The 22,935-nt window shown below is 37.6% G+C and overlaps 1 long non-coding RNA gene across 4 annotated transcripts in view; it reads left to right on the top strand.

The window, feature by feature from the left end:
• Window positions 1–22,935, top strand: part of LOC101929492 (uncharacterized) — a 126,333-nt gene that overhangs the window by 92,806 nt on the left and 10,592 nt on the right. For 2 of the 4 annotated variants that reach the window (XR_247157.3, XR_001745865.1), the window contains exons 1-2: window positions 19,333–19,368; window positions 21,380–21,408. This is a non-coding gene — a long non-coding RNA (uncharacterized LOC101929492). Of the gene's footprint in view, window positions 1–19,107; window positions 19,146–19,332; window positions 19,369–21,379; window positions 21,409–22,935 lie in introns of those variants that run through there. The other 2 variants (XR_247156.3, XR_949649.3) reach the window with 2 other exon arrangements.

Here is a 22,935-nt window from a genome sequence, read left to right on the forward strand (position 1 = left end):
GAATGGGTGTTGAATTTTGTCAAATGCTTTTTATGCATCTATTTAGTATGAAATTTTCCCTCATCTAAAGAGAGGTCTGGCTATTGTTCTGGCCTCTGCAAGGTTACCTCTAAAAGCATGGAGTTTTCTAAGTGATAGAAGTGTCTTACTTTGTTATTGATAGTGGGCTCCTTGGGCCATATGTGATAGTTTTTGCTAACAAGGTGACTTAGAGTGAGGGATGACCTCTTCAGAAAGACCAGCCATGTGATTAAGAAGAGCAGGGCTTCAAGCTATGTTTTATCAGCCTAATCTCTGAGAACTAAGGGAACATGGAGATTGTGTTCAACCACATGGGCAATGATTCATTCAATCATGTCTATGTAATAAAACCCCAGTGAAAACTCTGGACACCAAAGTTCATGTGAGTTTCCTATGTTGGTAATACTCCAAGTGTATTGCTACACATGGATGCTGAGAGTAATGTGTCCCTGAGGACGATGAAAGTTTTACATCTGGACCTCTTTGAGACTTTGTCCCATGCGTTTATTCCTTTGGCTGGTTCTAATTTGTATCCTTTCACTGTAATAAAGGTTTGTAATGGCACAGTGCTCTACTGAGTTCTGTGAGTCATTATAGTGAATTATAGAACCAGAGGGAGTCTGTGGGGACCCCACATTTGTAGCCAGATAGTCAAAAGTGAGAGCAGCCCTGAGGACCCCTGAACTTGTTGCTGGGGCCTGAAGTGAGGGCAGTTTTTCACGGAGTGTTCTCTCAGGCTTTGCAGTTTGCAAGATTCGTTGCAGTTCATGTTAGAAGTCTTAAGCAGACGTGGCGTTTCAGAGTATTGCACCTTTAACCTTGAGTCTGCCTAATTGTAGATAGCGTCTATTAAAATGGTCATGTGTTTTTTCTTCTTTGTGCTGTAAATTTAATTCATTATATCCACTGAATTTTGATCCTTAAACCAACTTTGTACTCTGAGAATAAAACTTACTTCATAATGATTTATTATTGTTTTCATACAGGGTTGAATTTAACTAATATTTTGTCAAGGGCATTTGCATCTATATTCATGAGAGGTATTTGTAATGTCTTGGTCTGGCGTTGGTGTTAGGATTACACTAGCCTCATATAATTTTGCTGGGGAGGTGTCCCTCTTCTGCTGGGCAGTGGATTCCAATATCTGAAAGATTTTATGTAAGACTGGTATTATGTCTTTTTTGAGTATTCAGTAGAATTCACCAGTAAAATCATCTGGTCTTCCAGTTGTTGTTTTTTTTTTTTGTTTGTTTGTTTTGTTTTTTTTTTGTGTGAGAAATGTTTTTGATACCAAATTTAATTTCTCTAATAATTATATTCAGATTTTCTGCTTCTTCATGTATCAATTTTGTGAGTAGTATGTTTTAGAAAAAATTGTCTTAGGTAAATTGTCAAATTTATTGGTTTGTTGATGGAGTTACTTTTTTAACATGTGTAGGATCTGCCATGATAAAGTACTTTTCATTCTTGGTATTTGTGACTTGTGTTCTCCCTCTAATTTTTTTTATTAGTCTAGCTAGGGGGTTGTCAATTTTGTTTTTCCTCTCAGAATACCAGCTTTGGGCTTTGTTAATTTTTCTATTGTCTGCGTTTTTTATTTTATTGATTTCTATTATTTTCTTTATTCTTTCCTTCCTTTTACTTACCTTCAATTTACCTACTCTACATTTTCCATCTATTTAAGGTGGATACTTAGCTGATTGGCTTTTTATATTTTTTTTAATATAAGAATTTAAAGTCATAGTTTATCTCTAAGCACTGCTTTAGCTAACCTCATTAATTTTGATGTTTTAATTGCCATTAAAGTTCTAGATGTTTTCTAATTTCTCTAGTGATTTCATTACTCATTAGTTATGAAGAAGTATGCTATTTAATTTCCAGATATATAGGATTTTCTTATACCACAGTAATATTGATTTCTAATTTAATACCATTTTAATCATAGAATATTCCATGTGATTTTGATCCTTTTAACTTGTTTTATGCCTTAATATGATCTGACCTGATAAATGAACCAGCTACACCTGAAAAGAATACACATTTTGCAATAATTGGAGTTAGTGTTTTATAATTGTCAATTATATCATGGTGATTAATTATGCTGGTCACACTTTCTATGTCTTTAATGCTTTTTTTCTAACTAATTCTTGAATCAATTATGGAGAAATGGATGGCAGAATCAACTACTGTAATTTTGAAATTTTCTATTTATTCTTTTATTTATTTATTTATTTTTTTGAGGCAGAGTCTGGCTCTGTCACCCAGGCTGTAGTGCAGTGATGTGATCTTGGCTCACTGCAATCTCCGCCTCCCGGGTTAAAGTGATTCTCCTGCCTCAGCCTCCTGAGTAGCTGGGATTATAGGTGCCCACCGTGCCCATTTAATTTTTCTACTTTTAGTAGAGATGGGGTTTCACCATGTTGATCAGGCTGGTCTCAAACTCCTGACCTCAGGTGATTTGCCCTCCCAAAGTGCTGGGGCCTCAGCCTCCCAAACTGCTGGGGTTACAGGCATGAGCCATCATGCCTGGCCTATTCTTTTATTTTTTAACTTTTATTTGAGTTTCAAGAATATACGTGCAGGTTTGTTATGTAGGTAAATTGCAAGTCACAGAGGTTTGGTGTACAGAATATTTCAAAACCCAGGTAATAGGCATGAGTACTCTATAGCTAGTTTTTCAATCCTTATCCTCCTCCCACACTGCATCCTCAAGTAGGCCCCAGTATCTATTCTTCCCTTCTTTGTTCCCATGGGTACTCAATGTTTAGCTCTCACTTATAAGTGAGAACATACAGTATTTGGTTTTCTTTTCCTGTTTAGTTCATTTAGGATAAGCGCCTCTGACTCCAACCATGCTGCTGCGAAGGACATGATCTCATTCTTTTTTATGGCTGCGTATATTCCATAGTGCATATGTACCACATTTTCTTTATCCAGTCTACCATTGATAGGAATTTAGATTGATTTCCATGTCTTTGCTATTGTGACTAGTGCTGTGGTGATGATACATGTGCATGTGTCTTTATGATAGAATGATTTATATTACTTTGGATATATACCCAATAATGGGATTACTGTGTCAAATGGTAGTTCTCTTCTCAGTTTTTGGAGAAATAGCCAAACTGCTTTCCACAATGGTTGAACTAATTTACACTTTCACCAGACTTGTATGAACATTCAGTTTTCTTTACAACCTCGCCAGCATTTGTTGTTTTTTGACTTTTTAATAATAGCCATTCTGACTAGTGTGAGATGGTGTCTCATTGTGGTTTTGATTTGTATTTCTCTAATGATTGGTGATGTTGAGCATATTTTCATATGATTGTTGGCTGCATGCATGTCTTCTTTTGAAAAGTGCCTGTTCATGTACTTTGCCCACTTTTTAATGGGGTTATTCATTTTTTGCTTGTTAATTTGTTTATATTGCTTATAAATTCTGGATATTAAACTCTTGTCAGATGCATACTTTGCAGATATTTTCTCCCGTTCTGTAGGTAATCTGTTTACTGTTTGATAGTTTCTTTTGCTGTGTATAAGCTCTTTAGTTTAATTAGGTCCCATTTGCCAATTTCTGTTTCTGTTGCAGTTGCGTTTGGCATCTTTGTCATGAAATCTTTGCCAGGATCTATGTCCAGAATGGTATTTCATAGGTTATCTTCCAGGGTTTTTATAGTTTTAGGTTTCACATTTAAGTCTAATTCATCTTGAGTTGATTTTTGTATATGGTGTAGGGAAAGGGGTCCAGTTTCAATCTTCTGTGTATGGCTAGCCAGTTATCCCAGCATCATTTACTGAGTAGGTAGTCCTTCCCCCTTGCTTGTTTTTTTCAACTCTGTATAAGTTCAGATGGTTGTAGGTGTGTGGCTTTAATTCTGGACTCTGTATTCTGTTCCATTGGTCTATGTATCTGTTTTTGTACCAGTGCCGTGCTGTTTTGGGTACTGTAGCCTTGTAGTATAGTTTGAAGTAAGATAAAGTGATGCCTTTGTTCTTTTTGCTTAGGATTACATTGGCTACTTAGGCTCTTTTTTGGTTCCATATGAATTTTGAAAGTGTTTTTCTAATTCTGTGAAGAATGTCATTGGTAGTTTGATAGGAATAGCAATGAATCTGTAAATTGCTTTGGGCAGTATGGTCATTTTAGCAATGTTGTCTTCCAATCCATGAGCATGGAGTGTTTTTCCATTTGTTTGTATCATCTCTTTTCTCTATCAGCAATGTTTTATAATTCTTGTTGTAAAAATATTTTACCTCCTTTATTAGCTGTATTCCTAGGTGTTTCATTTTTTTTAGAGCTATCGTGAGTGGTATAGCATTCTTGATTTGGCTCTCAGCTTGGATGTTGTTGAGGTACAGGAATGCTACGGATTTTTGTAAATTTATTTCATATCCTGAAACTTTGCTGAAGTTGTTTATCAGATATAGGAGTTTTGGGTCAGAGACTATGGTGTTTTCTAAGTATGAAATCATACCATCTGTGAACAGAGATAGTTTGAGTTTCTCTTGTCCTATTTGAATGCCTTTTATTTCCTTCTCTTGCCTGATTGCTCTGATGAGGATTTCCAGTACTATGCTGAATATGGGTGGTGAGAGTGGGCACCCTTGTCTTGTCCTGGTTCTCAAGTGGAATGCTTCCAGCTTTTGCCTGTTGAGTGTGATGTTGGCTGTTGGTTTGTTATAGATGGCTCTTGTTATTTTGAGGTATGCTCCTTCCATGCCAGGGTTATTGAATGTTTTAATGAAGGGATGTTGAATTTTATCAAAAGCCTTTTCTGCATCTATTTAGATGATCATATGGCTTTTATTTTAAGTTCGGTTTATGTGATAAATCACATTTATTGATTTGCATAACCAACCTTACATCCCAGGAATAAAGCCTACTTGATCATCATGGATTAGTTTTATGATTTGCTGCTGGATTCAGTTTGCTAGTACTTTGTTGATGATTTTCGCATATGTTAGTCAAGGATATTGGCCTAAAGTTTTATTTTTTTGTTGTGTCTCTGCCAGGTTTTGGTATCAGGATGATGCTGGCCTCATAGAACGAGTTAGGGAGGAGTTTGTCCTCTTCAATTTTTTGGAATAGCTTCATTACTAATGGTACCAGCTCTTTACAGATCTGGCAGAATTTGGTAGTTAATTCATCTGGTCCTGGGCTTTTTCTGGTTGGTAGGCATTGTATTACTGATTTAATTTTGGATCTTATTATTGGCCTTTTCATGGTTTCAATTTCTTGGTTCAATCTTGGGAGGTTGTATGTTTCCAGAATGTGTCAGTTTCTTGTAGGTTTTCTTGCTTGTGTGCATAGAGGTGTTTGTAATAGTCTCTAAGGGCTTTTTATATTTCTTTGGGGTCAGGGGTAATGTCCCCTTTGTCATTTCTGATTGAGTTTATTTGGATCTTTTCTCTTTTTTTAAATTTATTGGTTTAGATAGTGGCCTGTCAATCTCATTCTTTCAAAGAACCGCTTCCTGGATTCATTAATCTTTTGGATGGTTTTTTACGTGTCAATTTCATTCAGGTCAGCTGATTTCAGTTATTTTGTGTCTTTTGCAAGCCTTGAGGTTGATTCGTTTTTGTTTTTATAGTTCCTCTAGGTGTGATGTTAGGTAGTCAATTTGAGATCGTTCAAACTTTTTGATGCGGGCGTTTAGCACAATAAATTTTCCTCTTAACACTGTTTTAGCTTCATCTCAGAGATGCTGGTATGTTGCATCTTTATTCTCATTAGTTTCAAAGAATTTCTTGATTTCTGCCTTAATTTTATTGTTTACCCAAAAGTCATTCAGCAGCAGGTTGTGTAATTTCCATGTAATTATATGGTTTTGAGTGATCTTAGTATTGATTTCTATTTTTATTGTGCTGTGGTCCAAGAGTGTGGTTGGCATGATTTGTTTGACTTTGCTAAGGATTGTTTTATGGCCAACTGCATGGTCAATTTTAGAGTATGTGACATGTGCAGGTGAGAAGAATGAAGCTTCTATTATTTTTCAGTGGAGGGTTCTGTAGATGTCTGTAAGGTCCATTTGGTCAAGTGTTCAGATTTTTCTGTATCCCTCAACTTTGAGCCAATGGGTGTCATTATGTGTGAGATAGGTCTTTTGAACATAGTATACAGTTGGGTCTTTCTTCTTTATCCAACTTGCCACTCTGTACCTTTTAATTGAAGCAATTAGTCAATTTACAGTCAAAGTTAATATTGATATATGCAAATTTGATCCTGTCATCATGCTGTTAGCTGATTATTATGCAGACTTCATTGTGTAGTTGCTTTATAGTGTCAATGGTCTTTGTACTTAAGTGTGTTTTTGTGGTGGCCATGATGGTCTTTTGTTACGGTATTTGGCACTGCCTTAAGGCTGTCTTGTAAGGCTGGTCTGGTGGTAATTAATTCCCTTAGCATTTGCTTGTCTGAAAGTAATCTTATTTCTCCTTCACTTATGAGGCTTAATTTGGCTGGATATGAAATTTCAGTTAGAATTTCCTTCCTTTAAGAACATTGAATATACGTCCTCTATCTCTTCTGGCTTGCAGGGTTTCTGCTGAAAGGTCTGCCATTAGCTTGATGGGGTTCCCTGTGTTGGTGACCTGCCCCTTCTCTCTAGCTGCCTTCAATATTTTTTCTTTCATTTTGATCTTGGAGAATCTGATGACTATGTGTCTTGGGGATGGTCATCTTGTGTAGTATCTCACAGGGTTCTCGGCATTTCTTGAATTTGTATGTTGGCCTCTCCAGTGAGGTTGGGGAAATCCTCACAGATTTCCTTCACAGATATCCTTGAATATGTTTTCCAAGTTGGTTGCTTTCTTCCTCTCTTTCAGGGACACCAATGGGTCATAGAATTGGTCTCCGTACATAATCCCATATTTTTCAGAGGTTTTGTTTATTCTTTTTAATTATTTTTTCTTTATTTTTATCTGGCTGAGTTAATTTGAAGAACCAGTCTTTGGGCTCTGAGATTCTTTCCTCAGCTTGGTCTATTCTGCTGTTAATACTTGCAGTTGTATTATATATGCCTGTAGTGAGTTTTTCAGTTCTATCTTATCAGTTTAGTTCTTTCTTAAAATGGCAATTTTGTCTTTCAGCTCCTGTATCATTTTATTGTATTCCTTAGATTCTTTGGATTGGGTTTAGACTTTCCTCTGAGTATCAGTGATCTTTGTTCCTGTCCGTATTCTGAATTCTATGTCTGTTATTTCAGTCTGGCTAAGAACCATTGTTGGGGAACTAGTGGGGAGGTAACCATTATCTCATTTGGAGGTTAGAAGAAACTGATGTTTTGAGTTGCCAGAATTCTTGGTTCTTTCTCATCTGTGTTAATGTTCCTTTAATCTTAAAAGTTACTTGTCGTTCGGATGGGGTATTTTGCCTTTTATCTTCTTTGATGCCCTTGGGAGTTTGATTGTGGTATAAGGTGGGTTCAGTCAACTGGCTTCATTTCTGGAAGATTTCAGGAAGCCAAATCTCAGCACTGCCTTGCTGCATATTCTTACTCTGGGGCACTGGTACCAGGCCCCCTGCTTTTTTCTCTGGCCCCTCAAGGTTAGGAACCTGCTGTACTAGGGACCCAGGTGTTCCTGGTCCACTAACAACAACAATTTGATGAGGGGTGCTAGCCAAAGTGCTTCATTTGGTTGGTGGGAGTGGGATCCATGTCAGTAGCTGCCATGGCATGGTGGGATGCATGTGTATCAGCTGGGGAAGGATGTGGAGTGCCAGCATCTGTGCATACACTTGCACATGCAGCAGTGGTGCAGTGGGCTGCCTCTGTATCAGTGGGGATGAGGTGCCAAAGGAGATAGGGTGCCAGCAGTGTGGCGGGGGTTGGTGGCAGAGTGCACGCACATAATATGCACCAGTGGGAGAGGGGAGGCAAAGTTCACCAATGTGCTCATGCCAGCAAAGTAGTGGGGGGCAGCTGTGGGTGAGTGCATGTTGGCAGAGTTGGAGGCTGTAGTGGGAAGAGGCTGCAGGTAGGTTGGTGCATGTTGGCAGGGGCTGATTTTCTGGAACTCTCCAACAGTTAGGAGTAGTCTGCTGGTGAAGGAGCTATAATGGGAGCTTCTGGGAAGCACCCTGGCTGAGCATCTGAGGCTGCACTGTAAGTGGGCATGGCCAGGCTGGGGCCCCAGGAAAGGCCAGCAGACAGAGCGGTGCTCAGATTGAACTGGCCCTGTCCCATGAGCAAGATTGCCCTGCTTTGTCTGTCCAGGTCCAATGGTCACCCAAAGGGTAAAACCACCTAGAGAAGTGTAGCAAACCTTGAGGGATAGGCATCCCTGGCTGTGCTCCAGTGTAGAAGTTCCCACACCAAACCCTCTGGGCTCCTCACAGGCTAGATTCCTGCTCCTACCATTTCTTTGAGCAGCTCTCCCTTTCAGCTCAAGTGTCTGTTGGGGTTGTGGGATCTCCTGCAGCTAGGATTCCAGAGGTCTGTGATGAAAACAAGCCACTCCTTGCCTGTTCAACTCATCCCTTCCCCAGGAGTCACTGGGAGCCAGGGCAAGTCCTGGTGCTCAGCAGCCCTGTGCAGTGCTCCCACGTTTCTTCTTCTTCAGCCCAGTGTCTGTTTCCTCCCTCTGTTCACCCTCAATACCTTCCCTGTAAAGATCTGCTCTGAGTGTGCTAGTCTTCCCAATGTCCCAGTCTCTCGGTAGGAGATGTTCCTCCTGGCTGTGTCTAGTTGGCCATCTTGTCTCTAATCTGCCACTTAGTATTTACAATTTTTTTCACTCACATTTCATCATCTCTCATATTATTTCTGTAGCCAGACCATACTATCTCTTACACTTGATACTGCTGTCTCCTCTAGTTATGCTTCTCTACCAGTTCTCTCAGCCTCTATTTCTTTTTTAATTCTGCCAATTTTTGCCTTATGTTATTTCGAGATTCTGTTATTAGGTAAATTCACATCAATAATTTTGATGTCTTCCTGATAAAGTGTAACTTCTATTGTTATGAAATGTTTATATACCTGGAAACACTCTTTGTCTTGAAGTCTATCATACATTAAAATAGCCATTTTAATTTTCTTATGCTAACTGTGTTTTTACTATTCTTTACAAAATCAATTTATGTTCTACTAATAATATGTAAAGACTGAGTCTTGTAAGCAACAGATGCTAAGGTCTTGATTTTTAAATCCTCTTTATCAATCCCTCTCTATTATTTTGGGGCATTTAGACCATTAACATTGAATGTAATAATTGATATGCTTTGAATCAACCGTACCATTTTATTGTTTGTGTTCCTTTTGTTCCCTCAGTTTTTTGTTCCTCTAAGGCTCCTCCTGTGCTGCCTTTTCTGTAGTATCTTAATTTTTAGTATTACATTGTAAATTCATATAGGGCTCTTGGTTTATATCTTTTGGATTTGTTTTTTATTAGGTTTTCTAGGGTTAGGCTGAAAACTGCAGGTGGTTCAAATGTCAGCTCAGCTTTTCACCCTGTTGGTATGCTGGTTTGGATCTGTCCCATGCATGGATAGTTGAAGATACAGACAAAAGACACACGTGAGTGCATGTGCAGTGTTATGGGTACTTTACTCTGGCTATCCATTTTGGAATTTCTCTCCCTGTTTTCTGGCCTTCAAAGTCTCCTTTTCCTGGTTCTTGTGGCCCAAAGGTAGAGTTTCCTCTCAGGGTGTTAGCCACCGGGGCTGCTGCCACCATTTTCACTGTGCTCCTTTACAATATGAGCCCTCTCCCCAGGACAACGTTTTGAGAGAAAAACAAAAATGGGAAACTCATGATGGATGCTGCCACAATTTTCAATTCCTCCCCACAATTCACTTATTTTTGTTTACTTTTTAAACTCTCCAGTAGTTATTTGTTTATATTTTGTCCAGAATTTTTAGTTGTAATCATCAGAAGGGATGGATGGTTGTGGTCTTTTGCCACCATAATGGAATTGAAAGTTCTCAGTTATATTGTAGAGAGGCCTTTATATGAAGACTGCATCATAGGCACTCTTAGGTATCCCAAGCCAATAAATCATTAAATATTTTTATAATGACTTTATTAAGATAATTTCATGCACACACTCTCTCTCTGTGTGTATATATATATAAAATGAAATTATTATACTATATATATTCATACTATATACTATATACAAATTATTCATACTCTATATAGTAACTGTTCATACTGTACTAAATATAGTATGAATAGTACACTAGTATAAATAGTATACATAGTGTGAATGATTTATATATAGTATACAGTATGAATAATTTACTGTATATGCTATATACATACTATATACGTATATACATACACACATATAGTATGAAATTTTAGTATATATAGTATGAAATTATATATATGGTATGAAGTTTTCCTAATAAAACTATTATAAAAATATTTTACTATATATATACACATATACATATACCCATGGAGTGTATATGAGGTATTTTTTTGAAAATTCATAGAGTTATGCAATTCTCATTATAGTCTTTTTTTTAGAACATTTTAATTACCTCTACACGAAATCTTCAAAAGTCACCTTCATCTTTGAAACATACTTTTGCTGGATATAAGATTTTGGTGTTATTTTTTTCTTTGAGCTCTTTGAATATGTTATTCCACTGCTTCTGCCTCCACTGCTTCTGATGACAAGTCAGTCTTCTTGGAGTTGTCTTGAATGTGAAGGGTCATTTTCCTCTTGTAGCTCTCAAAATATTCTCTGTCATTGTCTTTCAGTATTTTTACCATAATGTGTCTTGGTATGGATCTCTTTGTGATTATCTTACTTTGAGTTTGTTAATCTTCTTGTATGTATAGATAAATGTGTTTTATAAAATTTAGAGTTTTCAGCCATGATTTCTTCTATTTTTCTCTCCTTTCTCACTATTATCCTCTATTATTATGTGTGTTTGTGTGCTTAATAGTGCTCCACATTTTTATGTAGCTCTATTAATTTGTCTTCGCTCTTTCTTCTCTCCACTTTCTTCGGAATGCATTATCTCTATTGATCTATCTTTGAATTTGCTGATTCTTTCTTCTGTCAGTTCAAATCTGCTGTTGAGCCTCTGGTAAGTTTTTCATTTCAACTAGCATATTTTTTCAATCTAGAATTTTCATTTGGTTATTTAAAAAATCATTTCTACCTTTTTATTGATATTCTGTATTTGATAAGAATATCCAGCCATTACCTCTTTAAGCACGAGTTTCCTTTAGTTCTTTGAATATATTTGTAATGGCTGCTTTGAAATCTTTAAAATCTGACGTCTGTTGACCCTCACAGGCAATTCTTGTTGTCTTCCTTTTTCCTGTTTGTAAGCTACATTTTCCTATGTTTTTTTTTTGTTGCAAGCTTTTTTTTTTTTTTTTTTTAAACTGGACATTTGAAGTAACATGTTGTAACAACTCTAAATTTTGATTTCCTTCCCCATTTCAGGGTTGTTTTTGTTGTTGTTTGCTTGTTTGTTTTGTGACTTGGCTAGACTCTTTCAGTTGCATCTATTTCCCATGTAGTGTGAAGTTTCTAATGTTGCCCTTCAGAGAGGCACATCCTTGGGCATGAGCACGTTCATCCTAGATAACAGTGTATTCTTTGGTTAAATTAGGGGAGTCTTTGTCTCTTTTTCTGATTTCTCTGTTAATCTGTCTGCCTCTAGTGGTATCATACCCAGCTCTTAAACTCAGCTGATTGATGGCTGATATCCCTATTGTTTTAGACAATGCCCTGGAATGTTCCAGGCATAAATCTCTCCACAGTCTCATCCAATTAAATCTGGATAGGGGTAGTTTTTGAGGCCAATCTTTGAGGCTTGTTATGTCCCCCTGGTGTCTCTTTTTGGCTGTCTCTTTCTCTGGTTCTGTCTGATAAATTAGCTGGCCTACAGTTGAGCTCTCATAGAGCTACAAGTCTTCTTTTAATTGTTTACTGCCAAAATTACCAATTGTTTTTGAGAGCATTCTTAGGCTTGAATTTTCCCACAGTTCTCTTCAAATAAAGACAGTTATTTTGGGAACAGCACTGGAGTTCTCTTTTCTTGTGGACTACCTCTGTTCCTGAGAAAAGTCTCTGAGCTACTGCTCCAGGGCTGGGGGTAGGGACAGTGGTCCACTTCTCTTGGAGTGACACCATGCATTATGAGTAGGGTGCTTGTCAGAGCCATAGCTTCTGGTATTCTTTTCTTGCCTCTTTGGCCTACAAATGAGCAGGGCTGAGGAGAGAGACCTCAAGAGAGAGACCAAGTCAGAGACCCAGTATTCTTGACCTGCCAACCCTGTGACTGAGAGTGTGAGTTGGGGCTGGGTGGAGAAAGAGAGTCCCTGACTTCTCAACTGCACTTGCCAGGAATTTAGCCTTTGCAACTTGGTGTTGGAGGTGATAAGAAATGCTGGTGGGCTGCTCCTCCTGGTGAGATACCGCATGCCTTGATTGGGAACTGAGGGAGAAAGAAGCTTTGTCTTTTTAGCTGTAGTTATGCAGAAATGAGCTTCAGTCAAGCTGAACTGGCATACAGGAGGGATGGAGTAAGTCATGGTTCAAGTGCCTCAGCCTCTTACTGTTCATACTGAGATTTAATAGATTTTCAAAAAGATTTTTCTTGAACAAATGTTGCTGTATGCCCTTAGAACAATTTTCAAATACTTTATACGGTTGTCTTTTTTAAATGTAATTTTTGCCAGTTATGGTTGTTTCACTGGGAAATGGGTCTATGGTCTGCTCACATCACCGTGCAGACGTGAAACTATCAACGAGTGTTTTTTTAAAAATTATATCCTTTGTATTCTTGATTCTGCTAGGCAAACTGGGGGATAATAACGAATTCATTTAAAAGACATAATCATGTAGCATATAATGTAGCTGGGGAATGAGATTCACATATGCAAGTAAATAGAAACAGTTGAAGATAATATGTAACTGCTAAGCGAAGTATTTTAAACTGTTATTGTCAATAAAGGCAGACATATAAAGGATGTGAAAGCAGTGCATGTGGGTATAGTGTGGTTCAATAGAAAGAACACCGATATTAGTGCTAAAACCAAGGAATAACCTGATTAAGCCCACCAAACTTAACCTGTGTTGCTTGCTTTTAACTGCTTACTTATAAGTGGTCTAGGTGCAAGTCACATAGCCAGACAATAACTAAACTTCCACTACCTTCTTTACAGACAATATCTCTGACTATGGGTTACTATAGTAATGAGTGCTTAAAGTTGTTTTTCAGGAACTAGAGGGCAGCTCTTGTCCAGTTCAAGCCAGTTGAGAATACTGACCCTTCACCTGGGTTTGCACAGGTGCCTGAAGAGACATCTTTTGACATGAGAGGGCCAAAAATTCTACCTGCAGGTCATGCTAGTGCTGCCTTTTTCTGAACATGCATCCTATAAAGAGCCATGTTGCTCAATTATGCTTGCACAGAACCCTGATTACCTTTCCTATCCACCAATTATCATTCCCCAGACATTAGACCATCCCGTTTTCTATTCCATAAGTACCTGCCCCCGACAAGCCCTATTTTCAGTGAGGCAGATTTGAGATTTGTTCTTCTGTCTCCAGGCTTGGCAGCCTTGTGAATAAACTCTTTTCTCTTTTACAAAACCTGTTGTCACACCGATTGGCTTTCTGTGTGTGCGAATAATGAACCTGGTTTAATATCAGTGCCATTAAACCTGGATTCAAATCCTGTTTCTATATCTAGATCTATGAAGGTCTTAGCAGATACAGGGATGGTTAAAGTACACTAGTAAGAGATGATAAAGTATCCTGGGGCTAGCAACAGTGGAGAGCCACTACCACTATTAGACATGAAGGGGCAAGGAAAAGGAATGGTTATGAGGAATAAGAGAGAGCTGTGGTTCTAGCTGTAACTGTAGTCAAGCGCTTCATGACAGGAGGCTGAGGCTTTCACTTCTGGCCTTTATTTCTGAACTCCAGTAGAGGAAACCAGCTGCTGTCAACCTGTGGCAGAGCAGGAAGGAAGTCAGGGAATAAACACCATTACCTTTCTTTTCTCCTGCCCTGCATTTTCCTCCTGTTGTCTCTCATTGACTCAATCCAATTGGAAACCATAGGACAAAGAAAATCCATTTATATGAGACAAGGAAGTCAGCTGCCTGCGTGTGCAACATGGTAGAAAAGGGTGAAGAATGGATTTGTAGAGCAATGTAAATATCCAGAACAATCACTCACTAGTTACATGACTTAGCAAATCACTTACATTCACTCTTTCCATTATATAGTTATAAAATATTAGGATAACAATATTATACTGGAGAAGAGCAAGAGACAAAGTCGAGGATTAAAAAGTTTAACCATATCCTATTTTTCAAGAGCATAAAACATCTGAAAGTCCTATAAGATATTTTATGTGAAATTTTATTTATATTTTATGTGCTCCTTTCTTGAATTTAAAGGCATTTAGTGCATGATGAAACTTATTTTATTTCTTCTAAAGTCTGTATCAGTTATCCAGGGGCAAATAATTCTTTTGTCAATTAATTTTGGTAAAAAAAGGCATATGCTGCCTTGGTGAAAATTTTGGAAAAAATGTGTTTTTGAATATGCTATTCGTTTAGAACTATGCAGTTAACCAAATTATGCTACTTTACATGTATTGCAAGCTACCTTGGCATTGCTCTCTTCTCTTACAACACAGTCCCTTGTGAGCATGCAGGAACACATGTAACTGTGGTTATGCGCTGTACATGAGGAGTAGCTGCATGGAAAAGTGAAGAGACTCAAAGAGAATGTGCAGGTGGCACTGTTTTTGCCAGTGGATAATATGAGTATTTTAAAAGCTAGCAACTTCTTGGTCATTTTTCTGGTCAAGTAATTTATAAGATATTTAGTTTTTATAATTTTGGGTCCAATTAAGTGTATCTGCAAGTGCATTTTATGAGTGCTGTATAAAAATTAATTACATTCAGTTTGAATCTTATTTAAAAAAATGGTTTTCCGTTGGTTGTGATTTTTCTTCTCTACATGACCACCCTGCCTTCCCCACATTACCTAGGGCAAGTCATTTCTACTTAATGTTTTTTGATAAAATAGGGACTTTCATTCTGAATCTTATCAGTGGTTTAGTATAGTATAAACTAATCTTATCTTGAGTAGAAAGACTAAAGAATGAACCAATCAAGAATAATAACTGTAACAACTTTTCAAGACATAGACAGTAGAGTAAGATATAACTAGAAACAACAAAAAGTTAAAAAGCAGGGGGATAATGTTAAAGTGTAGAATTTTTGTTAGTTTTATCTTTGCTTCTTTGTTAGCTTATATGTTTATGCTATCACTGTTAGGTTATCATGAGTTAAAACTTATGGGTTATAAGATATTTGTAAGGTTAATGGTAACCTCAAATCAAAAAACCTACAACAGGTGCACAAAAACAAAAAGCAAAAAAAATTAAAACCTACAACATGTGCACAAAAATAAAAAGCAAAAAAATTAAAACACACTACCAGAAAAACATCACCTTCATTTAAAGCAAGACAGAAAGGAAGGAAATAAGGATGAGAGGACCACAAAACAACCAGGAAACAAATAACAAAATGGCAGGAGTAAGTCCTTACTTATCAGGAATAATAATGAAGGTAAATGGACTATACTCTCCAATCAAAAGACATAGAGTGGCTGAATGGATTTAAAAAGAAAAAAAGACCCAGTGATCTGTTGCCCACAAGAAACACACTTCACCTATAAAGACACACATAGACTGAAAATAAAGGATTGGAAAAAGATATTCCATGCAAATGGAAACTAAAAAAGAGCAAGAGTAGCTATACTTACATCAGACTAAATAGATTGCAAGACAACAACTCTAAAAAGTGACAAAAGGTCATAATATCATGACAAAAGGGGTCAATTCAGCCAGAAGATATAAACATTTTAAATATATATGTACCCAACACTGAAGTACCAAGATATATAAGGCAAATATTTTTAGAGCTAAGGAGAGAGAGAGACCACAATACAATAATAGCTGGAGACTTCAACACCCCACTTTCAGGATTGGACAGATCTTCCAGGCAGAAAATCAACAAAGAAAAATTGGACATAATCTGCACTATAGACCAAATAGACCTAATAGATATTTATAGAGTATTTTATCCAATGCCTACAGAATACACATTCTTCTCCTAAGCACATGAGTCATTCTCGAGGATAGACCATTTTTTTAGGCCTCAAAACAAGTCTAAATTGAAATTATATCAAGTAACTTCTCTGACCACAATGGAATAAAACTAAAAATCAATAACAAGGCAAATTTTGGAAACTGTACAAACACATGGAATTTAAACAATGTGCTCCTGAATGACCAGTGGGTCAATGAAGAAACTAAGGAGGAAATTTTAAAATTTCTTGAAATAAATGATGATGGAAACACAGCATACCAAACTCTATGGGATAAAACCAGTGTATCATTCTTTAGTCTTTCTACTCAAGCTATGAGTAGTTTATACTTCACAGGTATGATGTTATAATATTCTGTATTTTTATGTGTACTTGCTATTTCTAGTAAGCTTTGCAACTTCAGACGATTTCTTATTGCTCATTAACATCCTTTTCTTTCAGCTCCTACAGCAAAAGAAGTACTAAGAGGAAAGTTTATAGTGATAAGCACCTACATAACAAAAAACTTCAAATAAACAACCTAATGAGGCATCTTAAGGAATGAGAAAAGAGCAAACTGAATACAAAATTAGTAGAAGAAAAGAAATAATAAAGTTCACAGCAAAAATAAATGAAGAAAACAATACAAAAGATCAATAAAATAAAAATTTGTTTTTTTGAACAGATGAACAACATTGACAAACCTTCAGGCAGACTAAGAAAAAAAAGAGCAAAAAACCCAAATAAATAAAATTAGAGATGAAAGAGGAGACATTGCAGCTGATTTCACAGAAATTCAAAGTATCATTACAGGCTGCTATGAACAACTATATGCCAATAAATGGGAAAACCTGGAAGAAATGGATAAATTTCTAGAAAAATACAACCTACCAAGATTGAACCATGAAGAAATCCAAAACCTGAACAGATCAATAACAAGTAATAAGATCGAAGCTGTAATAAAAAGTCTCCCAGAAAAGCAAAGCCTAGGATTCAATGGCATCACTGCTGAATTTTATCAGACATTAAAAAAGAGCTAAACCCTATTCAAATTATTCCAAAAAACTTATTCTACAAGGCGAGTATTACACTAATACCAAAACCAGACAAAGATGCATAAAAAAAGAAAACAATATGCCAATATCCCTTATGAACATTGATGCAAAAATCCTCAACAAAATACTAGTAAACCAAATTTAACAGTACAATAAAATGATCATTCATCATGACCAAGTTGGATTTATCCCTGGGATGTAAGAATGGCTCAACATATGCAAATCAATCAATGTCATACGTCATAGCAATGAAGGACAAAAACCATATGATCATTTCAATTGATGCTGAACAAGCACTTAACAAAATTCAACATTTATTCATGATAAAACCCTAAAAAAATTGGATCTAGAAGGAACATACCTTAGCACAATAAAAGCCATTTACAACAGACTCATAGCTAGTATAATACTGAATGAGGAAAAACTAAAAGCTTTTCCTTTAAGATCGAGAACATGACAAGGATGCCCACTTTCACCACTGTTATTTAATGTAGTACTGGAAGTCCTAGCTGGACCAACCAGACAAGAGCAAGAAATAAAGGAAATCCAAATTGGAAAGGAAGAAGTCAAATTATCTTTGTTTGCAGATGCTATGATCTTATATTTGGAAAAGCCTAGAGATTCCACAAGAGAACTATTAGAACTGATAGACAAATTCAGTAAATTTGAAGGATACAAAATCAACATACGAAAATCAGTAGCATTTCCATATGACAACAGTGAATCTGAAAAAGAAATCAGGAAATTAATCATATTTACAATAGCCAAAAACAAAATAAAATACCTAAAAATTAACCAAAGAAGTCAAAGATGTCCACAATGAAAAATATAAAACACTGATGCAAAATTTGAAGAGAATATAAAAAAATGAAAAGATATTCCATGTTAATGGATTGGAACAATCAATATTGTTAAAATATTCATACTACCTAAAACAATCTATAGATTAAATGCAACCCCTATGAAAATACCAATAACACTCTTCACAGAAATAGAGAAAAACAATCCTAAAATGTATATGGAACCATAAAAAACCCAGAATAGCCAAAGCTATCCTCAGCAAAAAGAACAAAACTGAAGGAATCACATTATCTGACTTCAAATTATACTACAGAGCTATAGCAACCAAAACAGCATGGTACAGTCATAAAAACAGACACATAGGCCAATGAAACAGTATAGAGAACCCAGAAACAAATCCATACATCTACAGTAGACTCATTTTCAACAAAGCCAAATATATACATTGGAGAAAGGATAGTCTCTTCAATAAATGGTGCTGGGAAAACTGGATATCCTTATGCGGAAGAATAAAACTAGACTCCTATTTCTCATCACACACAGGAATCAAATCAAAATGGACCAAAGATTTAAATATAAGACCTTAAACTGTGAAACTACTCAAAGAAAACCCTGAGGAAACTACCCAGGACATTGGTCTGGGTAAAGATTTCTTGAGTAATACTCCACAAGCACAGGCAGCCAAAGCAAGAATGGACAAATGGGATCACATCAACTTGAAAAGCATCTGCACAGCAAAGGTAACCATCCACAAAATGAAGAGTCAACCCAAAGAATGGAAGAAAATATTCACAAACTATCCATCTGACAAGGGATTAATAGCCAGAATATATAAGGAGCTCAAATGACTTTATAGGAAAAAACCTAATAATCAGATTTTAAAATGAGCAAATATCTGAATAAACATATCTCACAAGAAGATATACAAATGGCAACAGGTATATGAAAAGGTGCTCAACATCATAGATCATCAGAAAAATGCAAATCAAACTACAATGAGATATCACCTTACTCCAGGTAAAATGGGTTATATCCAAAAGACAGGCAACAACAAATGCCAAAGAGGATGTGGAGAAAAGGGAACCCTTGCACACTATGGAATGGAAATTAGTACAGTCACGATGGAGAACAGTTTGGAGGTTCCTCAAAAAACTAAAAATAGAGCTACCATATGATCCAGCAATCCCACTGGTAAGTATATACCCAAAAGAAGGGAAATCAATATATTGAAGAAGTATCTGCTCTCCAGTGTTTATTGCAGAATGATTCACAATAGCCAAGATCTGGAAGCAACCTAAGTGTCCATCAACGGATGAATGGATAAAGAAAATGTGGTACACATTCCATAAAAAAGAATGAGATCCTGTCATTTGCAACAACAAGTATGGAGCTGGAGGACATTATGTTAAGTGAAGTAAGTCAGGCACAGAAAGACAAACTTGGCGTGTTCTCACTTATTTGTGGGAGCTAAAAATTCAAACAAACTCATGGAGGTAGAGAGTAGAACAATGGTTACTAGAGGCTGGGAAGGGTAGCAGGTTAGTGAGGAGTAAGGAGGGAATGGTTAATGGGTACAAAAATATAGTTAGAATGAATAAGATCTAGTATTTGATAGCACAACAGGGTGACTATAGTCAACAATAATTTAGTGTACATTTGAAAATAGCTCAAAGAGTATAATTGGATTGTTTGTAATACAAAGAAAGGATAAATGCTTGAGGCAATGGATCCTCCATTTACCCTGATGTGATTATTATTTGTTGTATGCCTGTGTCAAAATATCTCATGTACCCTATAAATATATGTACCTACTGCGTACCCACAAAAATTAAAGATTAAAAAAAGATTAATTATAACAAGAGATTGCCTACTAAGAGGCAAAGAGAACTCCAAGGAATATAGTAATAGCAGATATAAGGAACAGCTACTACCGCTAGGACTGAGGCAGAACACCCAAGGAGAGGAAATCCCCACAGTCATCAAAGTCCACTTTCAACCCCCCACCTGCATCCCCAGGCTGAGATCCAGACCTCATTGGAGAGGGTGTGGGCGTGGCCTGTTGAATACAAGATACACAATGCCAGATGGCACTCTGGCAAAAGTTACTGAGAGGCCCCTTTATGGAGCTGGGGGAGGCTCTCTGTGGGGAGGTACTGTACTGGTGATATCTGCTGGGAGGCTATACTCTGGTGGACATGAGGAAGTCATTCCCAGGGAGATGCCACACTATGGAGCTTACTCTAAAGCTGCCCATGGAGGTAGTGTACTGAGAAGTGGCTCTGGTTTATCAGGAGGTGATGCCACTGAAACTTGCTGAGGGTGAGCACTGGGGCTCCCACCTGTCCCTGGCCACTGGATGCTAGAGGTGCAAGCCCAGAAGAAGCCTATTGGATTCTTCCTCCCCTCCCCTCCCTTCCCATCTCTTCCTCCCTCCCTTTCCCCTCTTCTTCCTCCCTCTCCCCCTCTCCTCTCCCCTCCCCCTCTCCTCTCCCCTCCCTCTCTTCCCATCCTTCCTCCTCTTCCCTTCCTTTCCCTTCCCCTCTTCCTTTCCCTTCCCCTCTTCCTTTCCCTTCCTCTCTTCCTTTCCCTTCCCCTCTTCCTTTTCCTTCCCTTCCTTCAGCTCCCCCTCTCTCTGACTCTTCCTTTCTCTCTCTCTCTCCCTGACTCCTCTATACCCCTTTAACCAAAGTCAGTTTCTTTAGAAGACTCAGGACACTTCTTGTGTGTCTGGGCATGGCAATTTGTTCATCAGTTTCCTATGAGCATATTAAAACACTAATTATAACTATGAAAATGTACAGTTGGTGTATAGTTAGCTCTTACACCATATCAGCTGATGGGAAGTAAGACTGAAAAAAAAATAGAATAATGTCTTTCATTAGGAGATTAGATTGTGCTGTGTGCATTTTGTATCATGTTTTCTTCTTTGCTCTTACATATAAAAAGCAGTGTTTCTACATAAGATTTGCATGAGTGAAAAGAACACAAGGTTAGGAGATATCATCCTGGTTGTGTCCCCAAGTGGTATGGTGACCCTAAGCAAATAACACTTTCTTTGATTTCAGTTTTCTCATCTTTCAAATAGGAATAACATTTATTCATTCACGTACTTGTTAATCCTGTCTGTAAACATTTTTTAGGTTGCTTATTTTGTGTCGGCCGCTGTGCTAGCACTGGAGATTTGTAGCTTACTAAGTCATTACCTGTCTCCTTAGGGAGCCACCTTGTAGTCCTAAAAATAAAATACAATGCCCCATTTTAGAGAGTTCTCATAAAAATCAAATGAGATGATGGATTATAGGTACTTGAAAAAGATTAAAAAATCACTCTTCAAATGTAAGAGGTTGTACTGATATTAATATCACAGTCATCACAACCGCAGAATGGCAATTAACTTATTGTGTTTTTTATTTCATTGACATTAGGGCTAAGAGGAGGATTGTAAGTGATTCAGGTAAGGACCAGAACATCTATATTCCCAAAGAATGTTTCCCATAAATTAACAGTCATTAAAATTAACCTGTGAAGTTAATTATGGTATGTGACACAGATGGCTTTAAGCTTTATGCAGTTATGTTCTTGACCAGATGAGGTCTTCCTTTTATTAGTTTATGAGTCACAGGGCAAGTGTGATGGTGTGCTAGGAATGCTTAATCAGGATCAGGAGCTAGAGTTACTTCTGGCCTTGGGGGGAAAAAGAAAACCTTTTCGGCATATTCATTTTTGTTTTTTATTGTGAATAAAGCACCCTTTATTGCTGCTCAGGGTGCAATAAACCTCTCAAATCCTTGGGCCCTGGATCTTGTGTGACCTGCCCTTTCATCTCTGATGCTTTCGCTTCTGGAGTTTTGACAATGTCGGATCTCCTTCATGCGCTCTTGCTCCTCTTTGCTCTCTCTCTTTTCCTTTATCAAGGTCTCACCAGCTCTCTGGGAGGAGGATTGCATCATCCCAACCACAGACTACCCGGAGCTTTGGGTGCTCTGTAGCTGCTCATGTCCTTTCCAGTCCCTTCAACCAAGGAGAAGAATGACAGATTGCTGGCTGAGAGTATCCAGAGTGGCTGTTAGCTAATGATTGCTATAAATTCTGATAATAATAATAGCAATCATAAATAATATAAAACAGTGGCATTGCAGCAGCTGGTATTCATGCTGCTCAGACTCTTATTTAAAGAATTTAAACTTTTTTTTTGGAGGAGACTTACAAGAATCTTGGGTCACATGGTACCACTTGGCCACAAGGACTTGACAAGTAGTAATGAGCAGGGTTTCTTGAAGGCAGACAGAAAGATAGGGACAGCTGTCCTGGAGAGTCACCCATCCTGCATCAGAACCGAATAAGTGAGAAATAAACCTTTATTGTGTTAGGCCACGGAGGTTTTGGGTTTTGTTTGGTACATTAGTGTAGCATGACCTATCTGTACTACAGTCACTCACATCGCTGCTGTTATGTATTTTTTTAAATAAGCTTAGCACTGGAGACCCCATGGCTGGGTTAACTCTAGTTAAAAATATTTGTTACGGCCGGGCGCAGTGGCTCACGCCTGTAATCCCAGCACTTTGGGAGGCCAAGGCAGGCGGATCATGAGGTCAGGAGATCGAGACCATCCTGGCTAACATGGTGAAACCCCATCTCTACTAAAAATACAAAAAATTAGCTGGGCGTGGGGGCAGGCGCCTGTAGTCCTAGCTACTCGGGAGGCTGAGGCAGGAGAATGGCATGAACCTGGGAGGCGGAGCTTGCAGTGAGCTGAGATAGCACCACAGCACTCCAGCCTGGGTGACAGAGAGAGACTCTGTCTCAAAAAAAAAAAAAAAAAATTTGTTATTCATTGTGCTTTTAAAAAAAAATCAAGATAGGGTTTGTGTTTTGAGATATTTTGCGGTAACGTAGTAACTTTTAGAAGCTTAAACTATGAGCTTCAGGGCACTTGCACATATTGTAATTCTAAATTCCTAAGAGAAGTTTGCGGTACTGG

This window comes from Homo sapiens, chromosome 8 (assembly GCF_000001405.40).
Source record: "Homo sapiens chromosome 8, GRCh38.p14 Primary Assembly".
Lineage (NCBI taxonomy): Eukaryota > Metazoa > Chordata > Mammalia > Primates > Hominidae > Homo > Homo sapiens.